Source organism: Homo sapiens, chromosome 5 (assembly GCF_000001405.40).
Source record: "Homo sapiens chromosome 5, GRCh38.p14 Primary Assembly".
NCBI lineage: Eukaryota > Metazoa > Chordata > Mammalia > Primates > Hominidae > Homo > Homo sapiens.
The window spans coordinates 94,075,134-94,101,113 of NC_000005.10; the positions used below are offsets into that span (position 1 = coordinate 94,075,134).

At 36.6% G+C, this 25,980-nt stretch overlaps 1 protein-coding gene across 31 annotated transcripts in view; it reads right to left on the minus strand.

The window, feature by feature from the left end:
• ARB2A (ARB2 cotranscriptional regulator A) overlaps positions 1 to 25,980 on the minus strand; it is a 493,975-nt gene that overhangs the window by 457,409 nt on the left and 10,586 nt on the right. The window lies entirely within an intron of this gene.

Consider the following 25,980-nt stretch of genomic DNA (forward strand, 5'->3'; position numbering starts at 1 on the left):
TCCAAAAACCTAAAATTTCTTTTAAAATAAATTGTAAGCATGGGCCATTTACAAGGTCAGAATGTCTTCCTTCTGGAACAAGCAGATAGGAGGATGCAAATACGTAAATATATAAAGTATCTACAAATTTCCTATAGTGTAATTAAAAATACAACTTTCAGGGAAAAATTAGCCCTTTTTAAATGAAACGATGTCATCAGTGTCTGGAAGCCATCCTCTCTAAATGGCACTCCAGTAAACAACCATACTATAAAATCAGGATTTATTAAAATCGAATTCTGCTCTACTTTGGCCAAAGGGAAGGCATTAAAACTTCCCTTTTTAATGGGAATGGCTTTTCCCAGGGTCCCCATGAACAGTAAAGCAACTATTTTTCCTAAAGTTTAAAAGGAAAAAAAGTGTATCTCCTACAATGTGAAAATTTAAACTACATTTAATCCATTAATCCAAAACTGTTAATGAAATTATATAAAAACTACATTCATGACAATATAACAAGATTGAATATTCCTCTGAGGAATCAAATTTGACTTGCTATCCATAAGGTAAATTTCAGTTTCCGTTCAGCAGTACATTTTATAATTATCTTTAAAAACAGATCTATTTCCATAATCAGCAGAATGTAACAGAAAATACTTTTTAAAAAACTAATACTGAAAATAAATAATTTAAAACTATGAATGTTCCAAATGGCCATAATCAATGCTGCCCTTGTGTCAAGTCTAACTGTAGGTGATGTGCTATAAGAGAAAGGGCACTCTGGCTCCACTAAGAACTACCGATGAGCCCTTGACAAATTATTTAACTTCTCTGGGCCTCATTTTCCACATCTGTAAAATGGAAATGATAATCATGTTTCCCTCATAGTGTTACAGTGAGGTTAAATGTAAAACATTTCATATAATGTCTGATCCATAATTATGTGCACAACATCCATGTTAGCTTATTTTTTTTAATTGCTGTAAACAAATCACGGCTTCATCACTTAATAACATCTCCGTGGCCAGTCATATCCAAATTCTTTGGTTTCTTCATTTACGAAATGTCGCTTCAACATTAAATAGTACAGAAGGTATATATAGCCAATCATTTCTATAACTAGCCATCTTACTGTTACTCAATGGTGTGAGATATTCTAAAAGGAATACCTAGAATGTAGCTACTTTTCACTGGGAAAGCCCTTTCACTTAGCATAAGTGACTCTTATTTTTCTTCTTTGTATAGGTAACTCAAAACTCTATAATTTCTACATGAATAAAATGTGTCTATATCCCTTCAAGAAATACATCCTAGTATATAAGGTAGGCAATGTACAAGACTCTGGGGGTACTATGGTGAGTAAAACAAATATGGTCACTGCCCTCCTATGGCTTACTTTGTAGCTGCCAAATCAAACTGCCAAGCAGCCACAAAGAAAATACATCAGACCTAGACTGATAATTACAATAATGTCAAAACAAACAAATATCTGCAAGGGATATATATTTCCATTCAGGAATTAGTGAAGTCCCACATGATAGTGCACAAATTTCACCAGCAACTTTTTATTACACATCATCTTGTAGCAGAAATTAAAGAGAAATGTTCTTAATGAGGAATTCCACACAGCACCCTTTGCTAAATATTCTACAACTAAGTTAACTACCTCCAGGAGACTTCCCTTCACTAACTCAGTATTTCTTCCAAATATAAACTATTAGATTATTTTTCATTGGCCCCAAATTGTCCGATTTCTGAACAGAACAATACATATAATTATGTCATTGTGACTGGTTTAACAAAGGTAAAATTATAAATATGTATTCAGTGCTAGGGTCATTATCAAAATTCATATTTCAATGATTCACTTTCAAGATTCTGAAGATTAAATAAAAATTAATAATCATGTTTTATATGAGACAACCTAAAAACTCACAAAGCAATTTGCTGGAGTAATAACATATAAGTTAAAAGACTATTGGCTGGGCGCGGTGGCTCACGCCTGTAATCCCAGCACTTTCGGAGGCTGAGGCAAGCAGATCACGACATCAGGAGATGGAGACCAACCTGGCTAACATGGTGAAACCCCGTTTCTACTAAAAACACAAAAATCAGCCGAGTGTGGTGGCACACGCCTGTAGTCCCACCTACTCGGGAGGCTGAGGCAGGAGAATCCCTTGAACCTGGGAGGCAGAGGTTGCAGTGAGCCAAGATCACACCACTGCACTCCAGCCTGGTTGACAAAGCGAGACTCTGTCTCAAAAAAAAAAAAAAAATTAATTATTACATGTGACCCTAAACTTTACAGTAGCAGTTGCAAAGCAGGTAAGCATGAAGCAAAAGCAATTTGTCTGTTGCTCTCTTAACATAGTGTTAGATTTTTACCCTCCTGAGTTATTTTTCCTGGCTGTGGCACAGCTGGTGAAGCTCAATCAAGAACATTATAAATTCTCAATTTAGTTTTCCTAATAAAAATTCAGAGTTATAACCTGCATGACCACAGATAAACACTACTGAAAATGCAGCCAGCAAGCTGTTGGCACATTTGATATATATTAATACATGCACTCGACATAGTTTATTTGGCATTATCTGATGGAGGTTAGGTTATAGAGAATAAAGCGGTGGAAGGTTTTTACTGATGTGAATTGGGACACAGTTGACATGTTGTATACTTCATGATAACCACTGCTGTTTAAATATGGTTTCCTAGAAATGGTTACAGTACAAACTAGATTCAAAACATCTCAGTTTGCCATTTTATTCTGTGAACTACACAAAGCAATTATCATATCCCTTTCCTTTCTATGATTCCAACAGAGAATCTACTATGTATAAAGCTATAAATAACTTGTCATGTGTAATCTTTATCCAGTCAGCATTTGAAAATATGAAACAGTAGAATACTTCTTATTTGCCCCGTTGGCACAAAATGTGGCATATGCACTTATAAAATGTACAGAAAGATACACAAAAGCCTTATTTTTTTCTACATTTGTTTGTTTTTAGTCAGGTATTAAATACGAACTAGATATACGTGATTTTGCAACAGAAGCCCTTTTCATCTCACATTCTGAATGCATTGATGAAAGTACAAAATATATCACAGAACACGTAAAATTGGGTTAATTTTCTGAGGTTCCCAGGACTGGTTTGGTTCCAGTCTAGCCCTAAAGATTCTATGCTCACTAAGTGAGACTCTAGAAATCAAGTTCAAAATAGCCTACTTGCAACTGAAATTACAGTAAATAGAATTGGCACAAGGGATTTATAAGGAACCAAAAGACCCACCCAAATTACAGTTAAAATATTCATCGGTTGCTCATCAGCAAAGGCTAGTTCATAGTAATGCTGGACAGCATTATTCTGAGGCTGCAGTGAGAAAAACGTTGGTGTGTGGGCACTGGGAAAGAAGCTGAAGAATGAAGACATCAGGCTGAGCAGACACGAGACAAAGCCCAGGGTAATAAGGGCCCCTGGTGCGTAGAAAATGGTGGCTTTTATAACAAATGCAAAATTGCGTTTGGATCAAAGTTTTGGAGCCAAACCTCTTTGCTCCTGAGACTAGGAATACCAGGTTCCAATCCAAGTATATCTAAAATAATTCCTTAGTTTCCCAAGCAACATGATATAGTAGGTTTGGAATGAGAAATCTAGGTTTTTAATTTCAGTTCCACCATCTAGTAGCTAAGTGACCTTGAGAAAGTTACAACTTCTCTAACCTAAGTAATGGGAAGAATCATGAAAATAAGAGCAGTTACCTTTGCAGGACTATTATGAAGATTACATGAAAAAATGTATATGAAAGCATTTTACAAACTATAAATCCCTTTAAAAATATTAGTAATCCACATAAAATCTGAAATAACTAGATTCCAACTAATTTGTGCTCAAACTGCCAGAATACCAAAATCAATCAATTCACAGAAATAAAAACCTTTTAATATGCATCACTTGGATGAACTCTATGCACAAATAATAAAGTCTCACAACAAATATCTGTTAACTTGGGTTTCCAAGACTATATTGAAAATAATTATAATGGAACTTAATTTTTGGACATAAGTTATACTTACATTCATTTCATTATATTTACATTCCTTTACATTCCTTTAATCTTATTAAAATGCATGCTTGAACAAAGATCACATATGTGGGTTCCACCTTCATTTGCCTAAGGAAGAACACTCTTCCAACTATTTCATAAATGTATACATTGGTCACAAGATGACCAGTTCTATTCTTATCCATTATCTGATTAGGTCATTGCCACAACTGTCAGGGGTAGGCATTTTATGGAGATAAGGCATTGTGGGCTTTGAAAAGCTAAGTGAGCCTGGTTAAGGCATCTCAGATGTTAAGGGGTAGCTGAGATTCTAACTCAGGTCTTCTGACTCCTAATTATGAATGAGTTTCTTCTATTCTACCATGTTGATACAGCCAAACAACACAACTTCACCAGAAAAATAATTTCAGTTTCTTCATTCTGCAGAAAATTCACACCTACTGTTATGTACTAATTTCTGTTATTAGGAAGTATTACAATTTGGAGTTTGGGCAAATTGGACATAGATATCTACAGACTAAAGTTGTCAACCAAAACTATCTTAGTATATTTAGTTTGCTATTCAGAATTAAGACTGATAAAAATTACTTATCATATCTCTCCCAATACTTTGGCAAAACAAGCATCTGAAAAAAGGGCCAAAAGTTAAGAGATATCAAATAAAAGTATTTTAAAAGAAATAGTATTGCACTACTATGTATTTTTAATAGGTCCCCAAATTGGTAATCATCTGTTTAGGTATTGCATTGCTTTTTGGCTAGCAAAAAGACAGAAACTCAACAAGACGGGAATATAAAATCTTAGAATATCTGTGACAATGTTAAAACTTAAGAAATTAAACAAAGACTAAGATGATTCTCTATTCTGAATCAAATTTCAAAAGAAAAAAATTTAAATAGCCCTTTATGAGGTTTTCATAATATGTAGCAGATATGGGAAAACTATGGCCAAAGATAAAATAATTCTCAAAATGAATATACCACACTCAAAATTTTAGAAAAACAGAGTATGTCAAACAAACATAAAAAATTGCTATTATATGAGGCAATTATGAGCATCATATAAACTACTTAAGAGACTCTAATTCTATAGTAAAAATAAATAATAAAACATAAACAATATTATAAATGTACATAACTCCAGGCCAAATTATCTTCAGAAGATTTCAAAGCAGCCTATACCATGAAATAACAGTAATAACACATTTGCAAAATCGGTATCAAATTTTCAATTTTCTCATCCCATAAACATTCTCCCAGAATCTCTGTTAAACTTAGTGAACTCGAGGTTCAACATAGATTTTAAAATATAATATGCATGTGAACCATCCAGATGCCCCTTCAAGGAGAATGTGCTGCTCAGCTAGAGAGTGCAGTTAGCAAACAGACTCCATCTGTTTATCACTTCAGAGCTGGCCTCAGGTGCAAAGTGCTGCTTCATCCTAGGTCATACCTTTCCACTGCTGACCCTCATTCAGTGATTAAGTCAAGTGGTAATATGAAGGCCCAGCCATTTCAGCCTGATGCAGGACAACCCCGATAGGCAATATTTGCTCCAGAGCTTGCTGCCAGGTTGGTTGAGGTTTTGCCAGGTCTCCATGTAAATTCAACTTTTCCCTCTGACCAATCCTGTTCTCCTTCCTTTCGCAAGTCCTGATCTCTAAAAATATTTTATACCCCAAATTCTGTCTCAGCATCTGCTTCCAAAAAATCTAAGCTATAACAATGTCCTTTTCTAACGGTTTTCTGAATATTAAGCAAAAAAAATTGTGATGTTAAGAGACCAGATGTATCCAGAATATATAAAGAACTCTTGCAACTCAATAATAAAAAAATTTTAAAGTGGGCAGATTATATAAGTATACATTTCTTCAAATATACAAATGGCCAAAAAGCACATAAAAGATGCTCAATATCATTAGTCATTATAAAAATGCAAATCAAAACCACATGAGATACCTAATGCACAATAACTAGCATGGCTATAATCAAAAAGGAATATAAATCAAGGTTTGTGACAATGAGAAGAAACTGGATACCTGATATATTGCTAGTGTGACAACAATTGCTGGTATGATGCAGCCACTTTAGAAAACAGTTGAGCAGTTCCTCAAAATATTACACACAGAGTTACCATATGACCCAGCAATTCTACTTCTGGGTATATACCCAAGAGAAATGAAAATACATGTCCCCACCAAAACTTATGCACAAATGTTCGCAGAAGCATTATTCATAATTGCCAACAAGTTGAAACAACCTGACTGTCAACTGATGAATGGATAAACAAAATATGGTATATCCATACAATAGGATATTATTCTTTAATAGAAAGGAATGAAGTACCGATACTTGCTATGACATAAATGAAAATATTATGTGCTAATTACAATTACAAAATGAAGCCAATTACCAAAAAAAACCACACATATTGTACGATTCCATTTATATGAAATGTCCAGAACAGGTAAATCCATAGAAATAGGAAGTTGACTAATAGTTTTCAGGAGTCGGGGGAAGAGAAAAATGGGGTGTGACTGTTAATAGGTATGTAGTTTCTTTTTGAGGTGATGATTCCAATGGTTCAAAGACATACACTTGCATTGGGGTAGTGTCTCTATGTATTAAATGGTTCTCTCTCCAACTCTTTTCTACAGCTCTAATGCCAAAGGTCAAGGCAGTCTCAAAAAAAAAAAATCTTGACTGTCTCACTAACCACTCACCTTTCCCTTTACGTTCTATAAAACAGAAGCAAGAAGTAGACTTCAGGCAGACTCATTTAAAGAACTTCTCTCTTGTAATGTCCTAATCACCCCTCTCTCCAGAGCCAGGCTAGCAATTGTCTAGGCATACTCTAGCTAGATATTAAGAACAAACATATTATTTTCTAGGTATAAAAGAGGAGCATTATATAAAGATTTTGTAAATCACAGTGCACTGGTCTAGCTTGTTCTAGTTCTCTGCATTGGCAGTTCTCTGTCAATGGTAATTTGCCTCCCTTGCCCATTAGTATCCCTCGCATACAAATTCCAATGAAAACCTGGTAGAAGCACTAATTCACTTTGGTCATGATTCAGTTAATCCCCTAAGCACATACCACCTAAAAGCATCCCAATCCCACCCAATTTCTAACAAGAATTGAAATTTGGTAATAACTTTATTGTTATTATTTTGATCATTATCATAATTGATCCCAGACATTGTACCAAATTACTTCGAAGTTAGAAATGTACCATTTGCTACAGAAAAGAAAAATGAAGACAAACTTGAGCATATAATCAAGCAGCTGATTAAGCCTAGTAAGCCATATGAATGACACCAACAATAAAGTTTAATGGCACATTTAAGTTTTGTGCAGATCATAATTGTACTGCAAACAAGGCATTTAAGTACCACTCAAATCCAGTATCTACTGACAGTGCACTCCTTACTATTTATTCAAGGGGAAAATTTCAGTGAAGTCTGATTTTACCTAAATGTGTTAACAAGTGGGAATGTAATTTAAGTGCCTTCAGAATAGATTTTTTTTTTTTGGCTTCTAGAATTTCCCAATTCTTTATGAAGTGATAATACTTTATAGCATTTCATGTTTGTATATTTAAATAATCCTCACATGCTGAGACCAGCAGGAGGATAAACTCAGAGAAGGCTTCATATTGCTGTGATACTACAAATATCTGATCTTAAAAAAAGAGAATTAGAAATTTGAAACTTCAAGTCACATTTTTAAACTACCATATAAGTTACAGTGGTTATTTACTTTATCCAGAAAACAAAACACATAATACATATCTTACCTAAATTAACAAAGGACTTGAAGCAGGAAAATTCTTCTGTTCCAAAACCAATCAAAGCTCCGAATCCTCCTGCTTTCTACAAAATATTTTTTTCCCACAAAAGACCACCATCGCTTAGCCATACTGCTAGTTACAGGAAATAAACTCTGTGACACTGAAGTTGCCAACACAAGGACACTTTGCTGAATGTTAGCCATTTATATTATTAGACCTATGCTTAAACACAGTATGCCAAATGGCTCTCATTAGTATTTTCTACATAAGCACAAAATGATAAAGTCCCTTCCTATGATCATAAGAGTCAAGAATTTTACAAGTAGACTTCTCCTTCCAACATTACAGCCAAGTCCCCCAAGGAATCCTCCTATGTAGTAAACCCTAGGAAGCACAATACAAAACATTAGAATATCTATAAATTCCACTCACGAATATAAAGAAAGAAAACCATAATAACTTCAATATCTACAGAAAAGCATTTGATAAAATTCAAAACCTATTTTTGGAAAAAAAGTCATAGAAAACTAGGAATCAAAGGAAACGTCTGTAAGCTGACAAAAAGGTTAAAAAAACAAGCAAACAAAAATAACCACTTACAACAAAATTACTCTTAATGATGAAATATTTGTAAAAGTCTCTTCAAAATCAAGAACCAGAAAAGAATGCCCATCATTACCACTTTACTATTACCACTTCTATTCAAAGTTTGTTTGACATTCTATCCAATGCAGTAGGACACTGAAAATAAATAAAAACACAGTAACAATTTTAAAAAGGAAATCAAAGTTATCATTATTTTCAAATGATATAACTATCTAAAACAACAAAAAGAATCAAAAAACAAGGTCCTCTAAAAAAAAAAAAACAAGAATCTCTGTATCATTAGGAATAAAAAGAGAATTCAACAAGATGGCTTGCTCTAAGATTTATATTTTTTAAAAAAATTGTATTTACAAATACTAGCAACAATCAGTTATAAAGCACAGTTTTTTAATACATCATTAATAATAGCAAAAATTGGCCAGGCACAGTGGCTCACGCCTGTAATCCCAGCACTTTGGGAAGCCAAGGCAGGTGGATCCACCTGAGGTCGGGAGTTCAAGACCAGCCTGGTCAATACGGTGAAACCCCATCTCTACTGAGTATACAAAAATTAGCCGGGCATGGTGGCAGGCACCTGTAATCCCAGCTACTTGGCAAGCTGATGCAGGAGAATCACTTGAACCCAAGAGGCAGAGGTCGCAGGGAGCACAGATTGCACTACTGCGCTCCAATCTGGGCAACAGGAGCAAAACTTCATCTCAAAAAAAAAAAAAAAAAAAGAAAAGAAAATAGCAAAAATTAAAAACTTACATGATTAAAATAAATCCAACAAAAGATGTTATACCTATATTCAGAAAATGATAAAATGCTACTGAAATACATTAAAGAAGACTGAAATACAAAAAATATACTGTATCTATGAATAGAAAGACTCACCAGTGTGACAATATCAATTTCCCTCTACTTTATATGTAGATCTAAGGGAATTCTACTCAAACCCCAAAATGTTTTTCACAGAACTTGAAAAACTAATTCAAAAAGTTACATGGAAAGAGAATCGCCAAGAACTGATAAGACACTCCTAAAGAATGTGATAGGAAGAATTGCCTTGCCAGGTTTCACAGTAATTAAGAAAGCATGCCATTAATACTAGAATAAACAAATTGACAAATAGAACAGGATGGAACTCCAAAACAGAGCCACATAACAGATCCATATGACACAGATGACACCATCATATCACTGGGGAAAACAGGGATTTTTTTAACAATTGGAAAAAACTGGTTAACTGCACAATTTTAAAAAAAGAAAAAGAAATAAATTAGATACCTATCTCACTTCATACATGATCAATTTCAAATGGTTTAAGGGTACAAATGTGAAACTCAAACTTTAAACCTCTTAGGGAAAAATACAGGAGACTACTACTTTGATGTTGGGGCAAGGAATACAACCACAATGAAATATTTACACTTATTAGAAAAAATTAAGAAGTCCGACAATACCAAAAGTTAAAAAGAATGCAGAATAATACAGATTCTTATTCATGTTTCTGGTCAAAAGATAAATTAAACTACTCTGGAAAAAACTAGCATGAGATATCCAAGTTATCCAGCAATCTCACACCTTGGTCCACTACCTGATCTTATACATGTACACCAGGGGACAGACATAAAAATGTTCACGAAATGTTTCCATCATCAAAACAGTCAGTTTATTCATTATCTGTAACTACATAACAAATTACCTCAAAACACAGTGTCACAAAGCAACAATAAATATTTGTAAAATCCCAGTTTCTGTAGATCAGAAATTTAGGAGCAGCTCAGCTGGGAAGTTCTCAATCAAGTTCATGAGATTGCAGTCAGAATATTGGCAAGTTCTGCAATCATCTGAAGGTTTGACTGGGGACAGAGGATTCACTTCCAAGATGGCTCACTCACATAAATAAATGATTGGTACTGATTGTTGTTACGGGCCTCCCATACTCAAACAGATCTGTGCAGAAGCCCATGTGGGAGGGCTTTCTCAAGAAAGATAGATCCAGTAAAGCAAGCGGAAAGCTGAAGAAGTCTCACCATCATTTCCTTGACATCCTACTGGCAGAAGGCAGCCCTACTCAATGTGGTAGAAGTTTATACAAAGGCATGAATATCAAGAAGCAAAGATCACTGGGGACCATCTTAGAATTTGGCTACAACAAATGGAAAAAAAACTGTTCTCCAATTATAGGAGAGCAAATATACTGTAGTACATTAACAGGGCAAAGATGAGTATTACACAGTGGTAAAAATGAATGAAGCACAACTACACTCAAAAACGTAGATGAATTTTCCAAAAATACTAGCGAGGAAACCAAATCTTAGAACACTACATACAGAACAATATCATTTATATTGAGCTAAACTAAAACAAATTATTAGTATCACAAATTGTGATAAAACCGTAAGAAAAATCAAGAGAAAAAATAAATGCAAAATTCAATAGTTATTACCACTGGGAAAGAACAGAAGGCATGAGATGGGAAGAAGCACATAAGTCAATGCAAGTTATTGATAGTGTTTTGAATCTTGGATTCAGGGGTAAATTTATAGGTGTTAATTATATTATACTATATAACTTGCATAAGCATTACAGATATGGAGGCCACTTTTATATCAGTATATCACATACATATAATCAACAATAACCTTGGTTGCACACAATCTTTTTTATCAACAATATGTTCTTTAAATAAGTGACAAAAATATTAACAAAAGAAATACAGTCACACAACACATAACAACATTTTGGTTAATGACAGAATGCATATTAAGACAGTGGCCCCATAGGATTATAAGGAAGCTGAAAAATTCCTACCACCTAGTGACATCATAGCTGGCATAACATCATGATACAACACATTACTCATGTGTTTGTGGTGATGCTGGTATAAACAAACATACTGCACTGCCAGTCATATCAAAGTTTAGCATATACAAATACATATAGTACGTAAATACTTGATAAAGATAATAAACGACTAGGTGACTATGTGTTTGGTTTTTGTTTTTTTGACATGTAGTTTTGCTCCTGATGCCCAGGCTGGAGTGCAATGGCACGATCTCAGCTCACTGCAACCTCTGCCTCCTGGATTCAAGCGATTCTCCTGCCTCAGACTCCCGAGTAGCTGAGATTACAGGTGCCCGCCACCACGCCTGGCTAATATTTGTATTTTTAGTAGAGACGGGGTTTCACCACAGTGGCCAGGCTGGTCTTGAACTCCTGACCTCTGGTGATCCACAAGCCTCAGCCTCCCAAAGTGCTGGGATTACAGGAGTGAGCCACTGACCCCTGCTGGTGACTATGTTTTTACTACACAATACTTTTCACGTAAAGTGTACTGCTTATTTAAAAAATAAAAAAGTTAACTGTAAAACAGCCTCTGGCAGGTCCTTCACAAAGTATTCCAGAAGAAGGCATTGTTATCATAGGAAATAGCAGCTCCATATGCGTTGCTGGCCTGAAGATCTTCCAGCGGGACAAGATGTAGAAGTAGAAGACAGTGTTATTGATGATCCTGACCCTGGGTAGGCCTGGGCTAATACGTATGTTTGTGTCTTCATTTTTGGCAAAAATGTTTTAAAAATAAACTTTGAAAATAGAAAAAAGCTTACAAAATAAGGATATAAAGAAAGAAAATACTTTTGTACAGCTGAACAATATGTGTTTTAAGCTAAGTATTATTACAAAAAAGTCAAAAAGTTGATGTGGCATGGTGACGCGCTTTGTAATCCCACCTACTCGGGGGGCTAAGGCAGGAGGATGGCTTGAGCCCAAGAGTTTGAATCTGCAGTGAGCTATGATCACCCACTGCACTCCACCTGGGCAGCAGAATAAAATCCCATCTCTTAAAAAAAAATTAATTTTAAAATTTATAAAAGTAAGAAAGTTACAGTAAGCTAGTTTATTATTGAATAAAACTAGTTGTATATATTTCATGTAGCCTAAGTGTACTGTAAAGTAAAAAAGTTACAGTAAGCTAGTTTATTATTGAATAAAACTAGTTGTATATATTTTGTGTAGCCTAAGTGTACAGTGTTTATAAAGTCTACAGTAGTATACAGTAATGTCCTAGGCCTTCACATTCACTCACCACTCACTTACTCACTCAGAGCAACTTCCAGGCCTGCAAGCTCCATTAAGTGGTCTATAAAGGTGTTCCTTTTTTAAAAATATTTCATGCTATATTTTTACTGTACCTTTTCTATGTTTATATACGTTTAAATAAACAAATTCCACTGTGTTACCATTGCCTATGGTATTCAGCATAGTAACATGTCATATAGGTTTGGAGCCTTGGAGCAATATATACCATATGTAGCCCAGGTGTGTAACAGACTATAACATCTAGGTGTGTGTAAGTACACTCTATGCTGTTCGCACAACAATGAAATCACCTAACAACACATTTCTCAGAAAATATCCCCAACATTAAGTGACTCATGACCATACTACAATTTTAGTGGCATTGCCTTTTATAATTTGTTCTTTGGGACATATTTCTTAGGGATAATGCTGACAGTGCCGTTCCATCTATTTAGTGAGAAAGTTGGAGGTTCTGCTGATGAGTAAAACTGATAGAAGCAGTTATTCTAAAAAAGGATAAACAGGTACTGAGTAAACCTCAGAGCAGCTATATATCAATAACATATTGTTACTAAAACCCAATTGATTCCTTGCCTGTTTTCAAACGGAACTAGTATTTTGAGTAAAAATTTATTACCTCAGAAACTTTTACATCCGCTATTACAAAAGACAAACTATAAATATTGTTTAAAACTTGACTTAAAAAATAATAATGCCCTACATCTTATAATAAAATATTTTAAAATGCAACTATTGGGCCAGGCACAGTGGCTGACACCTATAACCCCAGCACCTTGGGAGGCCAAGGCGGGAGGATTGCTTGAGGCCAGGAGTTCAAGACCAGCCCTGGCAACATAGCAAGACGGTATCTCTACAAAAAATTTAAAAATTAGCCAGATGCATTGGCATGTGCTTGTAGTCCCAGCTACTTGGGAGGGTGAGGCAGCAGATATCAGGAGTTTGACGTTACACTGAGCCATGATCATGCCACTGTGCTCCAGCCTGGGCAACAGAGCAAGACCCTGTCTCAAAAAAGTAATAAAATGTAAAATAAAATAAAAGTAAGCCCTTTTGAAAATCTCAAGTGTCATTTAAGCACTTTTCTTTGGCATATTTCCACTAGTAAGTATAATAAGTAAAATCAGCCTTTGAAGATGTATAAGAAATTAAATTTTTTAAAATGCTGGGCTAAGGGGCAGTTATAAGCACCTTGCAAACGAAAAATGAAGGCTGAGAATTCAATTCAGAATAATCTGTCCCTTTGGTTGCTAAAGGATGGGTTCATTTAATTATAAAAGAAAGTTTCCCACAGACGGTTATCTCTCAGTCCTTCAACATGATGTAAAAATGGACTTCAATTCCGAGAAAAAATAATGATTTTCCTTGTTTTTCCAAAATAAGGTGAAAAAGGAAAATGCTGTAACAGCAGCCACTGGAGGGAGGACTTGATGTTAGAATAAGAATAAAACAAGCATAAAACATTTATTTGGTGCTTTGTCTGAACCAAACATTTTGTTAAACTCATTTCTATTTGTTTAAGTGACAAATGCTGAAAATACTGCTTTTTCTGCATGAGAGTTAAACTTCCTTTCACTGAAAAACAGATGTTGTTTCAAGTGTCCTTTATTGGTACACAAATCAGCAGTGAGAAAATTATAAAGCTGCCTGGACTGACAAAGAACTAGCACTATCGCTTAGTCTAAGAATATATTTAAAGGCCTATGCTTAACTTTAAATGTCTTTATTTTTGTTCCTTTGAAATATTATCCACTCAGTTTGCTAGAAGACCGCAGGTACTATTTTGTCTTTAAATAAATACCTGAAATCTGGATATCGATAAATTCGGACAGCTTTTTAAAAACCTGTGGCATAGCTCTCGATGTGGTTAAGGGGTTTTGTTTTTACTAAAAATACTCATATATTTTAATAACTATTGGTTTAAAACCGTTTATACACACACACACACACACACACACACACACACACACACACACACACACTGCAGAGGGATCCCAGAGTAAGCTGTAAGCCTCCAGTGCTTACCTTTTGCAGATAACTAAGTATACAAACATATTCTAATAAAGCAAGTTTAAACGAAGATTCCAAACACAAAATCACAGAACTGAAAGGGAATAGAAAGGAGCTCTTTCACAATTCTGGTTTCTATTGTAATGGTAGTTATATACTATACAATAGATGCCAGGCTTCTGGAAAGTTCTGAAATAATTCCAAACATAGCAAAATCCATTCTTTCCCTTTCAAAACGACTATTTACACAATCATTATTTTGGAGCTGACTTCTTAAACTCAAGAATCTTACTATGATTTAATCAATGAACCAACAAAACTTTCAGTCAGTTCTGAATAAGAGCAATCCAGAAAAAAAAGCAAGAACTAAAATATAAAAACTCTGGAATAAATATTCATCTGACAAGATATTCAATTGAATAAGGAAATCAATCTCAGAAAATGAATTCTTAAAAATGAATCAATATTGATTCTTCCTATCTATGAGCATGGAATGTTTTTCCATTTGTTTGTGTCCTCTCTTATTTCCTTGAGCAGTGGTTTGTAGTTCTCCTTGAAGAAGTCCTTCACATCCCTTGTAAGTTGTATTCCTAGGTATTTTATTCTCTTTGTAGCAATTGTGAATGGGAATTCACTATGATTTGGCTCTCTGTTTGTCTATTATTGGTATATAAGAATGCTTGTGATTTCTGCACATTGATTTTGTATCCTGAGAATTTGTTGAAGTTGCTTATCAGCTTAAGGAGATTTTGGGATGAGATGATGGGGTTTTCTAAATATATAATCATGTCATCTGCAAACAGATACAATTTGACTTCCTCTCTTGCTATTTGAATACCCTTTATTTATTTTTCTTTTCTGATTGCCCTGGCTACAATTTCCAACACTATGTTGAATAGGAGTGGTGAGAGAGGGCATCCTTGTCTTGTGCCAGTTTTCAAAGGGAATGTTTCCAGCTTTTGCCCATTCAGTATGATATTGGCTGTGGGTCTGTCATAAATAACTCTTATTATTTTGAGATACATTCCATCAATACCTAGTTTATTGAGAGTTTTTAGCATGAAGCAGTGTTTAATTTTATCGAAGGCCTTTTCTGCATCTATTGAGATAACATGTGGTTTTTGTCATTGGTTCTGTGTATGTGATGGATTACATTTATTGATTTGTGTATGTTGAACCAGCCTTGCATCCCATATCATCACTAAAATTATCATCACTAAATTGCCTAGTAATTTTCCAATTCAGCAACAATTTATTTTCCATGTAAAGAAGGCGCTTCCTTTGGATTTATCAAAATAGGAATGCTTTAACAGTCTTTGAATTAAAAAAAACATAGTGAGAAATTAGCTTATGTAATTCAGTTCATTATTAAGGGTTGACCTGACTGAAGTCTTTCTTCATTTCAAGAGAGAAAGAGAAAGGAAGTGGACGCGCAAGACAGAAACTTTATATTGTAATTAAAATAATTAAAAACACAAACACATATGCTTGTTTTGATAAAAATAATTATACATGTTTCTTGTTGAGGAAATATATCCAGAATAAATAAGGTTGTTTTAAATAGTTTGTTTTCAATTATGAAACTGAAATGTCTAAGTTCTTAGCAGTTATTGCAGTATTCCTAATACAAATAAAACTTCACCATTACAATCACTCACTGTTTCAAAATAATGAGTTATTACCTATAAATAATATTCTAGTCACAACCACCTGTCAAATACTTAGCACAAATGGATTTAACATATTGGCCACCTTGAAGAAAGTAGTTAAAGACCATCAAAGAACAGGATACAGATCATTAATGCTTCAAGGCCAGAGAGAAGAGGCTCAAATGGCCTCCAGTGAAATCAACTTTGTTCATAAGCAGTGAAGTCCTGTAAGTCATAGCTTATACTGAATGAAGAGTGGAAACTGAAGCAAACTGGAAAACATATGGCTCATCTCAAGGGAGTTCCGACTTGCCACACTGTTCCCATATAGAATGGAGCCACAGTGTGACTGGAACTTCGTATTTTTCAGGAGAAATCAAAAGCCCAATTTTTACTTAAATTAGATGGAAACTAATTTTTAAAAATTTAAGATTGTGGACGCTCACTTAGTTTGGGGGTCTCCAATTTGTAAAGTCTACTCTATGTAACATTATAGAGAGTATAATTGACTGATATTCTCCTATACAGCTTAGCAACATCTAGGCCAAAAACAGACATACCATTAATAAAAATATGACTCCAATGATCCAAGAAAATAGTAAACCTTCAGAAAGTAGACTCGGGTCAAAAATACTTTCCAAAACCAAGCTTTCATGATTATCTCCACTTTGCAACAGTTGAACTATGACTTTCTTATACTGGCACAAGTACTGACACCTCTCCAAAGCACTTAGCATTACAAAAATAATAGGCAGGGTGCAGTGGCTCACACCTGTAATCCCAGCATTTTGGGAGGTTGAAGCAGGAGGATCGTTTGACCAGCCTGGCCAACAAAACAAAACCTTGTCTTTCCAAAAAAAAAAAAAAATACAAAAAATTAGCCAGGTGTGGTGGCACATGCCTGTGGTCCCAACTACTCAGGAGTCTGAGGTGGTAGGATTGCTTGAGCCTGAGAGGTCAAGGCTACGGTGAGCTATGATAAAACTTCTAAATATGATATTTCCCTCTGCTCTTAGGTCTTTACCATCTATGTACATATCCTTGTGCTTGAAATTTCTTCATTTAAAAATCATGATGTATCTTCCTGTGCCACAGCAAAGTTTGGATAGCATGGTTCCTGATATATCATGACTATCTAGGACTAACTCTAATGTCACTACTTGTAATTATGTTCCTTGCCAACACATAACTCCAAGTCTTATTTTTGTGTCTTTCATTTTTCTGTTATACATTTTCTTGAAATCTTATCTGTAAATTTCTATAATGTTATTCCATTTCAGTTCTGTAAGTAAAAAACTTAATTAAATGCTTATAATTCAAATATTATACTTAGTTCCTCAAATATGGATTCTGTCCTAGATTTTTCTATTTTCAACTAAAAAGATGTCTACCAAAATGCTTTCACCATGCCTAGAAAACAGTAGGAACATATATACACACATAATTATGGATGAATATATATCTAATAGTTTAAGTTCTATTAGATGCTCCTTTGCTTTTTATACCTAATTGAAACATCCTTTAACTCTACAGCCCTACAAATACCTCAATGTAGCAGGTTATGGGTAAATTCATTGTTTAAAATGTTCTAAAGGACACAGCTCTTTAAATCTGTGATAAATCTTATTAGAAGGTAAATATTTTCAATTGAACTCTTTTCTAAATATAGGGGGAAAACCTGTATTGCATCTTCTTAAAACATGAACACAGGTATATTATTTTTCTATAACCTTTCATTTCATCTTTCCTTCTACTTTTATATACCTGTGTTGTTTGCTCAGTCATTTAAGATATATAATCTAAAAGTCTTCATTGAGGTCCTTCTGATACATTTCTTCAAGTTTTTAAAAAATTTCAGATGACTCAACTTTAAAAGTAATATATAGGAAACCGTGCTCTACTAGATCACAAATAATCTAACTGCTGATTAACAACAACAAAAAAGACTAGCTATCAATTAGTACATTAATCTGCTTGAGCGGCCATACAAAATACCATACACAGGGTGGGTTAAACAACAGAAATTTGTTTTCTTACAGTCTGGAGGCTAGAAGTTCCAGAAAAAGATATAAAAGGACCAGTTTCTGGTGAAGGCTCTCTTTCTGCCTTTCAGAAGACTGCATTCTTACTGGAGAAAGGGAGAGCTCTCTGGTGTCTCTTCTGATAAGGACACTAATCCTAGTGGATCAGGGTCCCACCTTTATGACCTCATTTAACCTTAATGACTTCCTTACTCCAAATACAGTTACACTGTAGGTTATGGCTTCAACATACAAATTTTGGGGAAATTCAATTCAGTCAATAGCATTCTGCCACTGGCCTCCTCAAAATTCATGTCCTTATCACATGCAAAATGCATTCATTACATCCCAACAGCCCCAAAATTCTTAACTGATTCCATCATCAACTCTAATGCCTAATGTTCAAAGTTTCATCTAAATATCATCTAAATTAGGTATGGGTAAGAACGAGGTATGATTCACCCTACAGCAAAATTCCTCTCCAGCTGTAAACCTGTGAAACCTGACAAGTTATGTATTTCCAAAATACAACGGTGGGACAGGCAAACAATAGACATTCCCATTCCAAAAGGGAGACTTAGAAAGATATTAGAAAGAAGGAAGAAAAGGGTGATGCCCCAAACCAGTGCCAAACTTAGAAAGGCAAATTCCACTCCATCATTAAGGTTCAAGAATAATCTCCTTTGGTTTGACACTCTGTTCTCCAGGCCCTCTCTATTTTCCAGTTCCAAAGCCACATGTACATTTTAAGGTATTTGGTAGAGCAACATCCCAATTCATGGTATTACAATTTGTATTAGTCTAGTCAGGCTGCCATAACAAAACTGCATAGACTGGGTTGCTTAAACAAGATAAATTTATTTTCTCACAGCTCTTGAGGCTAGAAGTCCTACATCAAGGTCCAGCAGGGTTGGTTGGTTTCTGATAAGCGCTCTTTTCCTGGTTTGCAGATTTTTGCTTTCTCACCATGTCCTTACATGGTAAAGAGAAAGTGACCAGGAGAATGGCCTCTCTGGTGTCTCTTCTTACGAAGACACTAATCCTATGGGACCAAGGTCCCATCCTATGACCTCATTTAACCTTAATTACTTGCTTACTCCAAATGCAATCATATTGGGGTTAGGGTTTCAACATACAAATTGGAGGGACATAATTCAGTCAATAGCAATTAGAAAGGAAAGTATCAGGGGACTGTAATATGTTTAGGGACATTCGTATTATAATAGTCTTGATATTTTCCCCAATATCCTCTCATCTTAGAAGATGCATTACTTCAACAATGTGGTATGTTTATCCCTGCTTTCAAATAGAAAAGCCAATTTTGTCCCAAATTAGAGAAAGAAAGAAGCAGAGAAAGATGATGCAAAGGGTTTTTTGCACCTAGAGAGACAGACAGAACAGTCCACAAAAGAAACTACCCCACTTCTCACACCATTGTAAGTTCAGAGGATTCCCAAAACCATTCTCAGTTTCCATAATTTGCTGGAAAGACTCACAGAACTCACTGAAAGCTATTATATTCCCAGTTACAGTTTATTACAGGGAAAGGATATAGATTAACAGGAGCAAAGAAAAGGTGCACATAAGACAGAGACTAGGAGGGTACCAAACATGGAACTGCCATTGTCCTCTCCCCATGACGTCATGATCACGTCATTCTCCTGCTTTCTGTTTAACAATACACACAGAGTATGGCCAACTAGGAAGGCTCACAGAAGACAGAGTGTTCAGAGTTTTTCTTGGGACTCTGTTACTTAGGCATGAATGACTAATTGACTGCCCACATGGTTGAGGTCAGCCTCCAGGTTAACTGATATCACTTGACCAAAAGCCCCACCCTAAGTCACATAGTTAGTATTTCTGGCATGGGCAGCCCCCACCCAAAGACTGTAATAGACACAGCCAGCCCTGATCCTCAATCATACCATTAGTGTGGCCCAAGGCATTATCATCCGTAAAGTGAGGGCAAAGGCCAGACTTCTGTTTGGGCAAGATTATGTTTTTTACTAAATCGAGATAAGAGTAACCATTCAATAGTTCCTACTGCTTACAGAGGCAAGTCCAAGCTCCTCAGCAAACTATACAAGCCTTCTCTGCCCACCGCTTATGCACACACAGATAGCCATGACATGGCTCCTATTTCCTTCTTCAACTCCATCTCTCACTACAATCAAATTTTTTCCTCTACTAATTGCAAATTCCTTTTAGTTTTTACAAACATTAGACTGCTAATAGCTATTTCTTCTATCTAGAATGTCTTTCTGCTTTATTTTAAATGATCCATCCTTAAGTTCTCAACTTAGGGATAATTTTCTCCAACTCCAGGAAAAGCTTTACAACACTCCCATAGTATCCTATACATACTTCCATCTATCATAATACAAAACATTATACTAAAGTCTTACCTTCGTAGTAGACACCCAACCAGAAGGTTAATATCCTCAAATATGAAGTCTAGATTGCCTTATCACTAGGTATACATCTATTACTGATTCGAATAACTGAGAATCTGTTTTTTTTCCCTTATCTAGACCTTAGGCCTTTCCCTGCTCATTTATCTCTCCCGCTCTCCATCTCTTCTGAGACCAGAGTCTTATCCCCGTTCAGCCAATCCCTACTGAAAGAAATCCTTTCTTTTCTATCCCAACATCCTCTACCAGCCTGATCTGACCTTTCTTCCCATCAATTCTCAGATATGACCATTTAATCAAAGTATTCCAATTACAGCAGAGTGTATTAAACCAAATGGATCAAGATTATTAACAAAATTCCAAACTACTTAATTCCAGAGTCATTTCCATAGTACAGGCAAAAATGATGATATCAAGAAGAATGGGTAATTCAAATCAAGAGAGCATCTAATCTAACCATCAATCTTTTCACATTTTTTACTTGCCTCATCTTAGATTATACTCTTGGTCACAATTGTAGCTTGCTCCACATTTTATACAAGCACATAAAACTAAGCTATGCTTTGTAGAGGAAAGGGGTATCACTTGTATGCCTTCATTAACTTGGATATTTACTCTGAACTGTTCTTTTTTAATACAAATAGTGTGTCTCCTGAGCTACAAGTATCTTTTCTACTGTTTTCTTATACTTGATTACATATGATGGCAATAAGATTGGCAGGGAATAGGAATACTAGCTATATCCCAAGTAGCTAGTAGTTACACTGGTGGTTATAATCATCCCTATAAAGAGCCATTAAAGGGCCTTACAAGGGCCCAAATCCACAGTCTTAGTCTTGTTAGCACCTCTTTAACTTCTAAGCAAAGCAAAGCTTGGTCCATTATCAATCTAGACGATGATTAAATAAATATACAGAGAAAGAAGAGCCACGATGGCCAGCTAAAAGGAGGGAGGAAGAGCTTCTCCCATCGAGAGAACAGACCATCAAGATCACCAGTAAACTTCAAGCAAATCTTTGGGAGGAAGGCATTGAGAGTGAACAGAGAAAGGACGCAGACCCTGGGCTGAAGGAGGAGGAAGCTGGGAACTCAACACAGGGTTACTGAGCACCAGGATTCATTTCTGGCCTTGAGTGGCTCCCAGAGAAGGAGTGAGTTAAACAGGCGTGGAATGGCCTACTCTCACCATGGACCTCCAGAATGCTAGCTACAGGAGACTCAATGACCCCCATGGACACTTGAGCTGGCAGGGAGAGCTGCTTGGAGAAGTGGCAGGGACAGGACTCCAGCCTGTGCAGAGCCCAGAGGCTCTGGTGCGGAAACGGCTACAGTGGAGCACAGCCAGGGACGGCTATCCCCCAAAGCTCATCATGCTCCTCTACGCGGCTTTAGCATATACTGACTGTCAGGCCTGGACAGAACAGGGCTAACTTGCCTGGGGGACACAGCCAGTCTGATCTGAGCATTCCCACCCCGTCTGCCAGCCTCTACCAGCCTCTACCAGTCACTGCCTGGCCACATAAGCTTGCAGCATAGTCTCAGATATCCAACAAGGGCACTTTCCAATGGCCACCCCCACAGTTCATCAGCTGGCAGATGTCACCTAACCATCGAAGAACTTCTGCAGATGGGCTCTGATATGGTTTGGCTATGTCCCCACCCAAATCTCATCTTGAATTCCCATGTGTTGTGGAAGGGACCCAGTGGGAGGTAATTGAATCATGGGAGCATGTCTTTCCCATGTTGTTCTCATGATAGTGAATAAGTCTCACAAGATCTGATGGTTTTAAAAATGGGAGTTTCCCCACGCAATCTCTCTCTTTGCCTGCTGCCACCCATGTAAGACATGACTTGCTCCTCCTTGCCTTCCACCATTATTGTGGGGCCTCCCCAGCCACATGTAACTGTAAGACCATTAAACCTCTTTCTTTAGTAAATTGCCCAGTCTCAGGTATGTCTTTATCAGCAGCATGAAAACAGACTAATACAGGCCCCCATCAGCACACACCCGCCCACAGCCTCCCCCAACTGCTTTGCCAGAATGCACATGCCCACAACCTCCCTCCACTGCTTTGACATAAAGCCCTCCCCCCCACCACCCCACCCCACCGCTGGTACACACACACACACACGAACACAGATCCCTCTGCCGCTGGCTTAATGAAGGGATTCTGTCAGCACCCTCCATGAGTGTTGCTACCAGTGAACTGGGAACACCTCAACTCCTCCAGCACAGCAGGTGCTTAACCTCAAGGGGCCAGAGAACAAAGCTGTGAGCCTGGACACAACCCTTCAGGGTTAGAGCATGCAGCCCAGGAGTGCTGAGCTGAACCTTGGTCCCCTGAAATCATCCAGAAATGAAGACAGCTGACTGAAACCAACTTAAAGAACAGTCAAACCCTCAAAGGCATCAAAGAGTATAAAAGCAAAAAGGCCCATCCAAAAGACAGCAACAACAAAGATTAAAGGAACATCAGGCCACAAAGATGAAGAACCCGTGGAAGGACTATGGCAACTCAAAAAGTCAGAGTGTCTCTTGGACCACAGCACAATAAAAATATAAGTCAACACAATGAAAATCGCTCAAAACCATACAAATACATAAAATTAAACAACATGCTCCCAAATGACTTCTGGGTAAATAATCAAATTAAGGCAGAGATCAAGAAGTTCCTTGAAAATAATGAGAACAAAGATAGAACATACCAGAATCACTGGGACATGGCTAAAGCAATGTTAAAATGGAAATTCAAAGCATTAAATGTCCACATCAAAAAACTAGAAACATCCCAAATTAACAACCTAACTTCACAACTGAAAGAATGAGAGAAACAAGAGCAAATCAACCCCAAAGCTAGAAGACAAGCAATAACAAAAATTAGAGCTGAACTGAAGGAAATCAAAACACAAAAAACCATTCAAAAGCTCAACAAACTAAGGAGTTGATTTTTTGAAAAAAATAATAAAATAGGCCACTAGCTAGGCTAATTAAGAAGAAAAAAGAGAAGATCCAAATAAACACAATTAGCAGTTACTAAGGGAATGTTACTACTGACCCCACAGAAACAAAAACAAGCATCAGAAACTACTATGAACACCTCTACGCAAACAAACTAGAAAACCTAGATGTGATGGATATATTCCTGGACACATGTACCCTCCCAAGACGGAGCCAGAAAGACACAGATTCCCTGAACAGACCATTAACGAGCTCCAAAACTGAATCACTAATAAATAGCCTACCAACCAAAAAAAGCCCAGGACCTGATGGAGACACAGCCAAATTCTACCAGATGTACAAAAAAGAGCTGGTACCATTCCTGCAGAAACTATTCCAAAAAATTGAGGAGGAAGGACTTCTCCCCAACTCATTCTATGGGGCCAGCATCACCTTGATCTAAAATCTGACAGAGAAACAGCAAAAAAAGAAAACTTCAGGCCAATATCTTTGATGAACATTGATGCAAAAATCCTCAACAAAATACGTGCAAATCAAATCCAATAGCACATCAAAAAGCTAATCCACCATGATAAAGGAGGCTTCATCCCCAGGATGCAAGGCTGATTCAACATATGAAAATCAATAAATGTGGCTGGGCACGGTGGCTCATGCCTGTAATCCCAGCACTTTGGGAGGTTGAAGTGGGTGGATCACGAGGTCAGGAGATCGAGACCATCTTGGCTAACACGGAGAAACCCCGCCTCTACTAAAAATACAAAAAATTAGCCGGGCATGGTGGTGGGCGCCTGTGGTCCCAGCTACTCGGGATGCTGAGGCAGGAGAATCGCATGAACCCGGGAGGCAGAGCTTGCAGTGAGCCGAGATCGCGCCACTGCACTCTAGTCTTGGCAACAGTGAGATGACTCCGTCTCAAAAAAAAAAAAAAAAAAAAAAAAAAACCGAAAATCAATAAATGTGATTCATCACATAAACAGAACTAAAGACAAAAGCCATATGATAATCTGAATAGGCTTTTGATAAAATTCATCATGCCATCACGTTAAAAATTCTCAATAAACTAGGTATTGAAGGAACATACCTCAAAATAAGAGATATCTATGAGAAACCCGCAGCCAACATTACATGGAATGGGCAAAAGCTGGAAGCATTCCCCTGAAAACCGGCACAAGACAAGGATGCCCTCTCTCACCACATCTATTCAACATAGTATTGGAAGTCCTAGCCAGAGCAATTAGGCAAGAGGAAGAAATAAAGGGCATCCAAATAGGAAGAGAGGAAGTCAAATTACCTATTTGCAGATGACATGATTCTATATCTAGAAAACCCCATGGTCTGAGCCCAAAAGCTCCTTCAGCTGATAAACAACTTCAGCAAAGTTGCAGCATACAAAATCAATGTACAAAAATCACTAGCATTCCTACAGACCGACAACAACCAAACTGAGAGCCAAATCAAAATGGCCATCCCATTCAAAACTGCCACACACACACAAATACCTAGGAATGCAGTTAATCAGGGAGGTGAAAGAGCTCTACAATGAGAGTTACAAAACACTGCTGAAAGAAATCAGAGATGACACGCAAATAAATGGAAAAACATCCCATGCTGGTGGAAAGGAAGAATCAACATCATTAAAATGGCTATACCGCCCAAAGCAATCTATAGATTCAATGCTATTCCTATCAAACTACCAAAGGCATTCTTCACAGAACTAGAAAAAATTATTTTAAAATTTTATGGAACCAAAAAAGAGCTCAAATAGCCAACACAACGCTAAGCAAAAAGAACAAAGCTGGAGGTATCATGTTACCCGACCTCAAACCATACTACAAGGCTACAGGGACCAAAACACCATAGTACGAGTACAAAAACCAGCATATAGACCAATAGAACAGAATACAGAGACCACAAATAAGGCCACACATCTACGACCATCTAATCTTTGACAAAGCTGACAAAAACAAGCCAAGGGGAAAAGACTCCCTATTCAAAAAATGGTGCTGAGATAACTGGCAAGCCATATGCAGAAGACTGAATCTGGACCCCTTCCTTATACCATATACAAGAATAAACTCAAATGGATTACAGATTTAAATGTAAAACCCAAAACTATAAAACCCCTGGAAAACAACCTAGGCAATACCATCCTGGACCTAGGAACGGGCAAAGAATTCCTGACAAAGATACCAAAAGCAATCGCAACAAAAGCAAAAACGGACAAATGGGATCTAATTAAACTTAAGAGCTTCTGCACAGCAAAAGAAACTATCAACAGAGTAAACAGACAACCTACAGAATGGGAAAAAAAATCTGTCTTAATCAGATGCATAGTTGGCAAAAATGGAGATTCAGGAGAAAGTCCAGCATCCACAAGGAACTTAAACAATGTTCTAAGAGAAA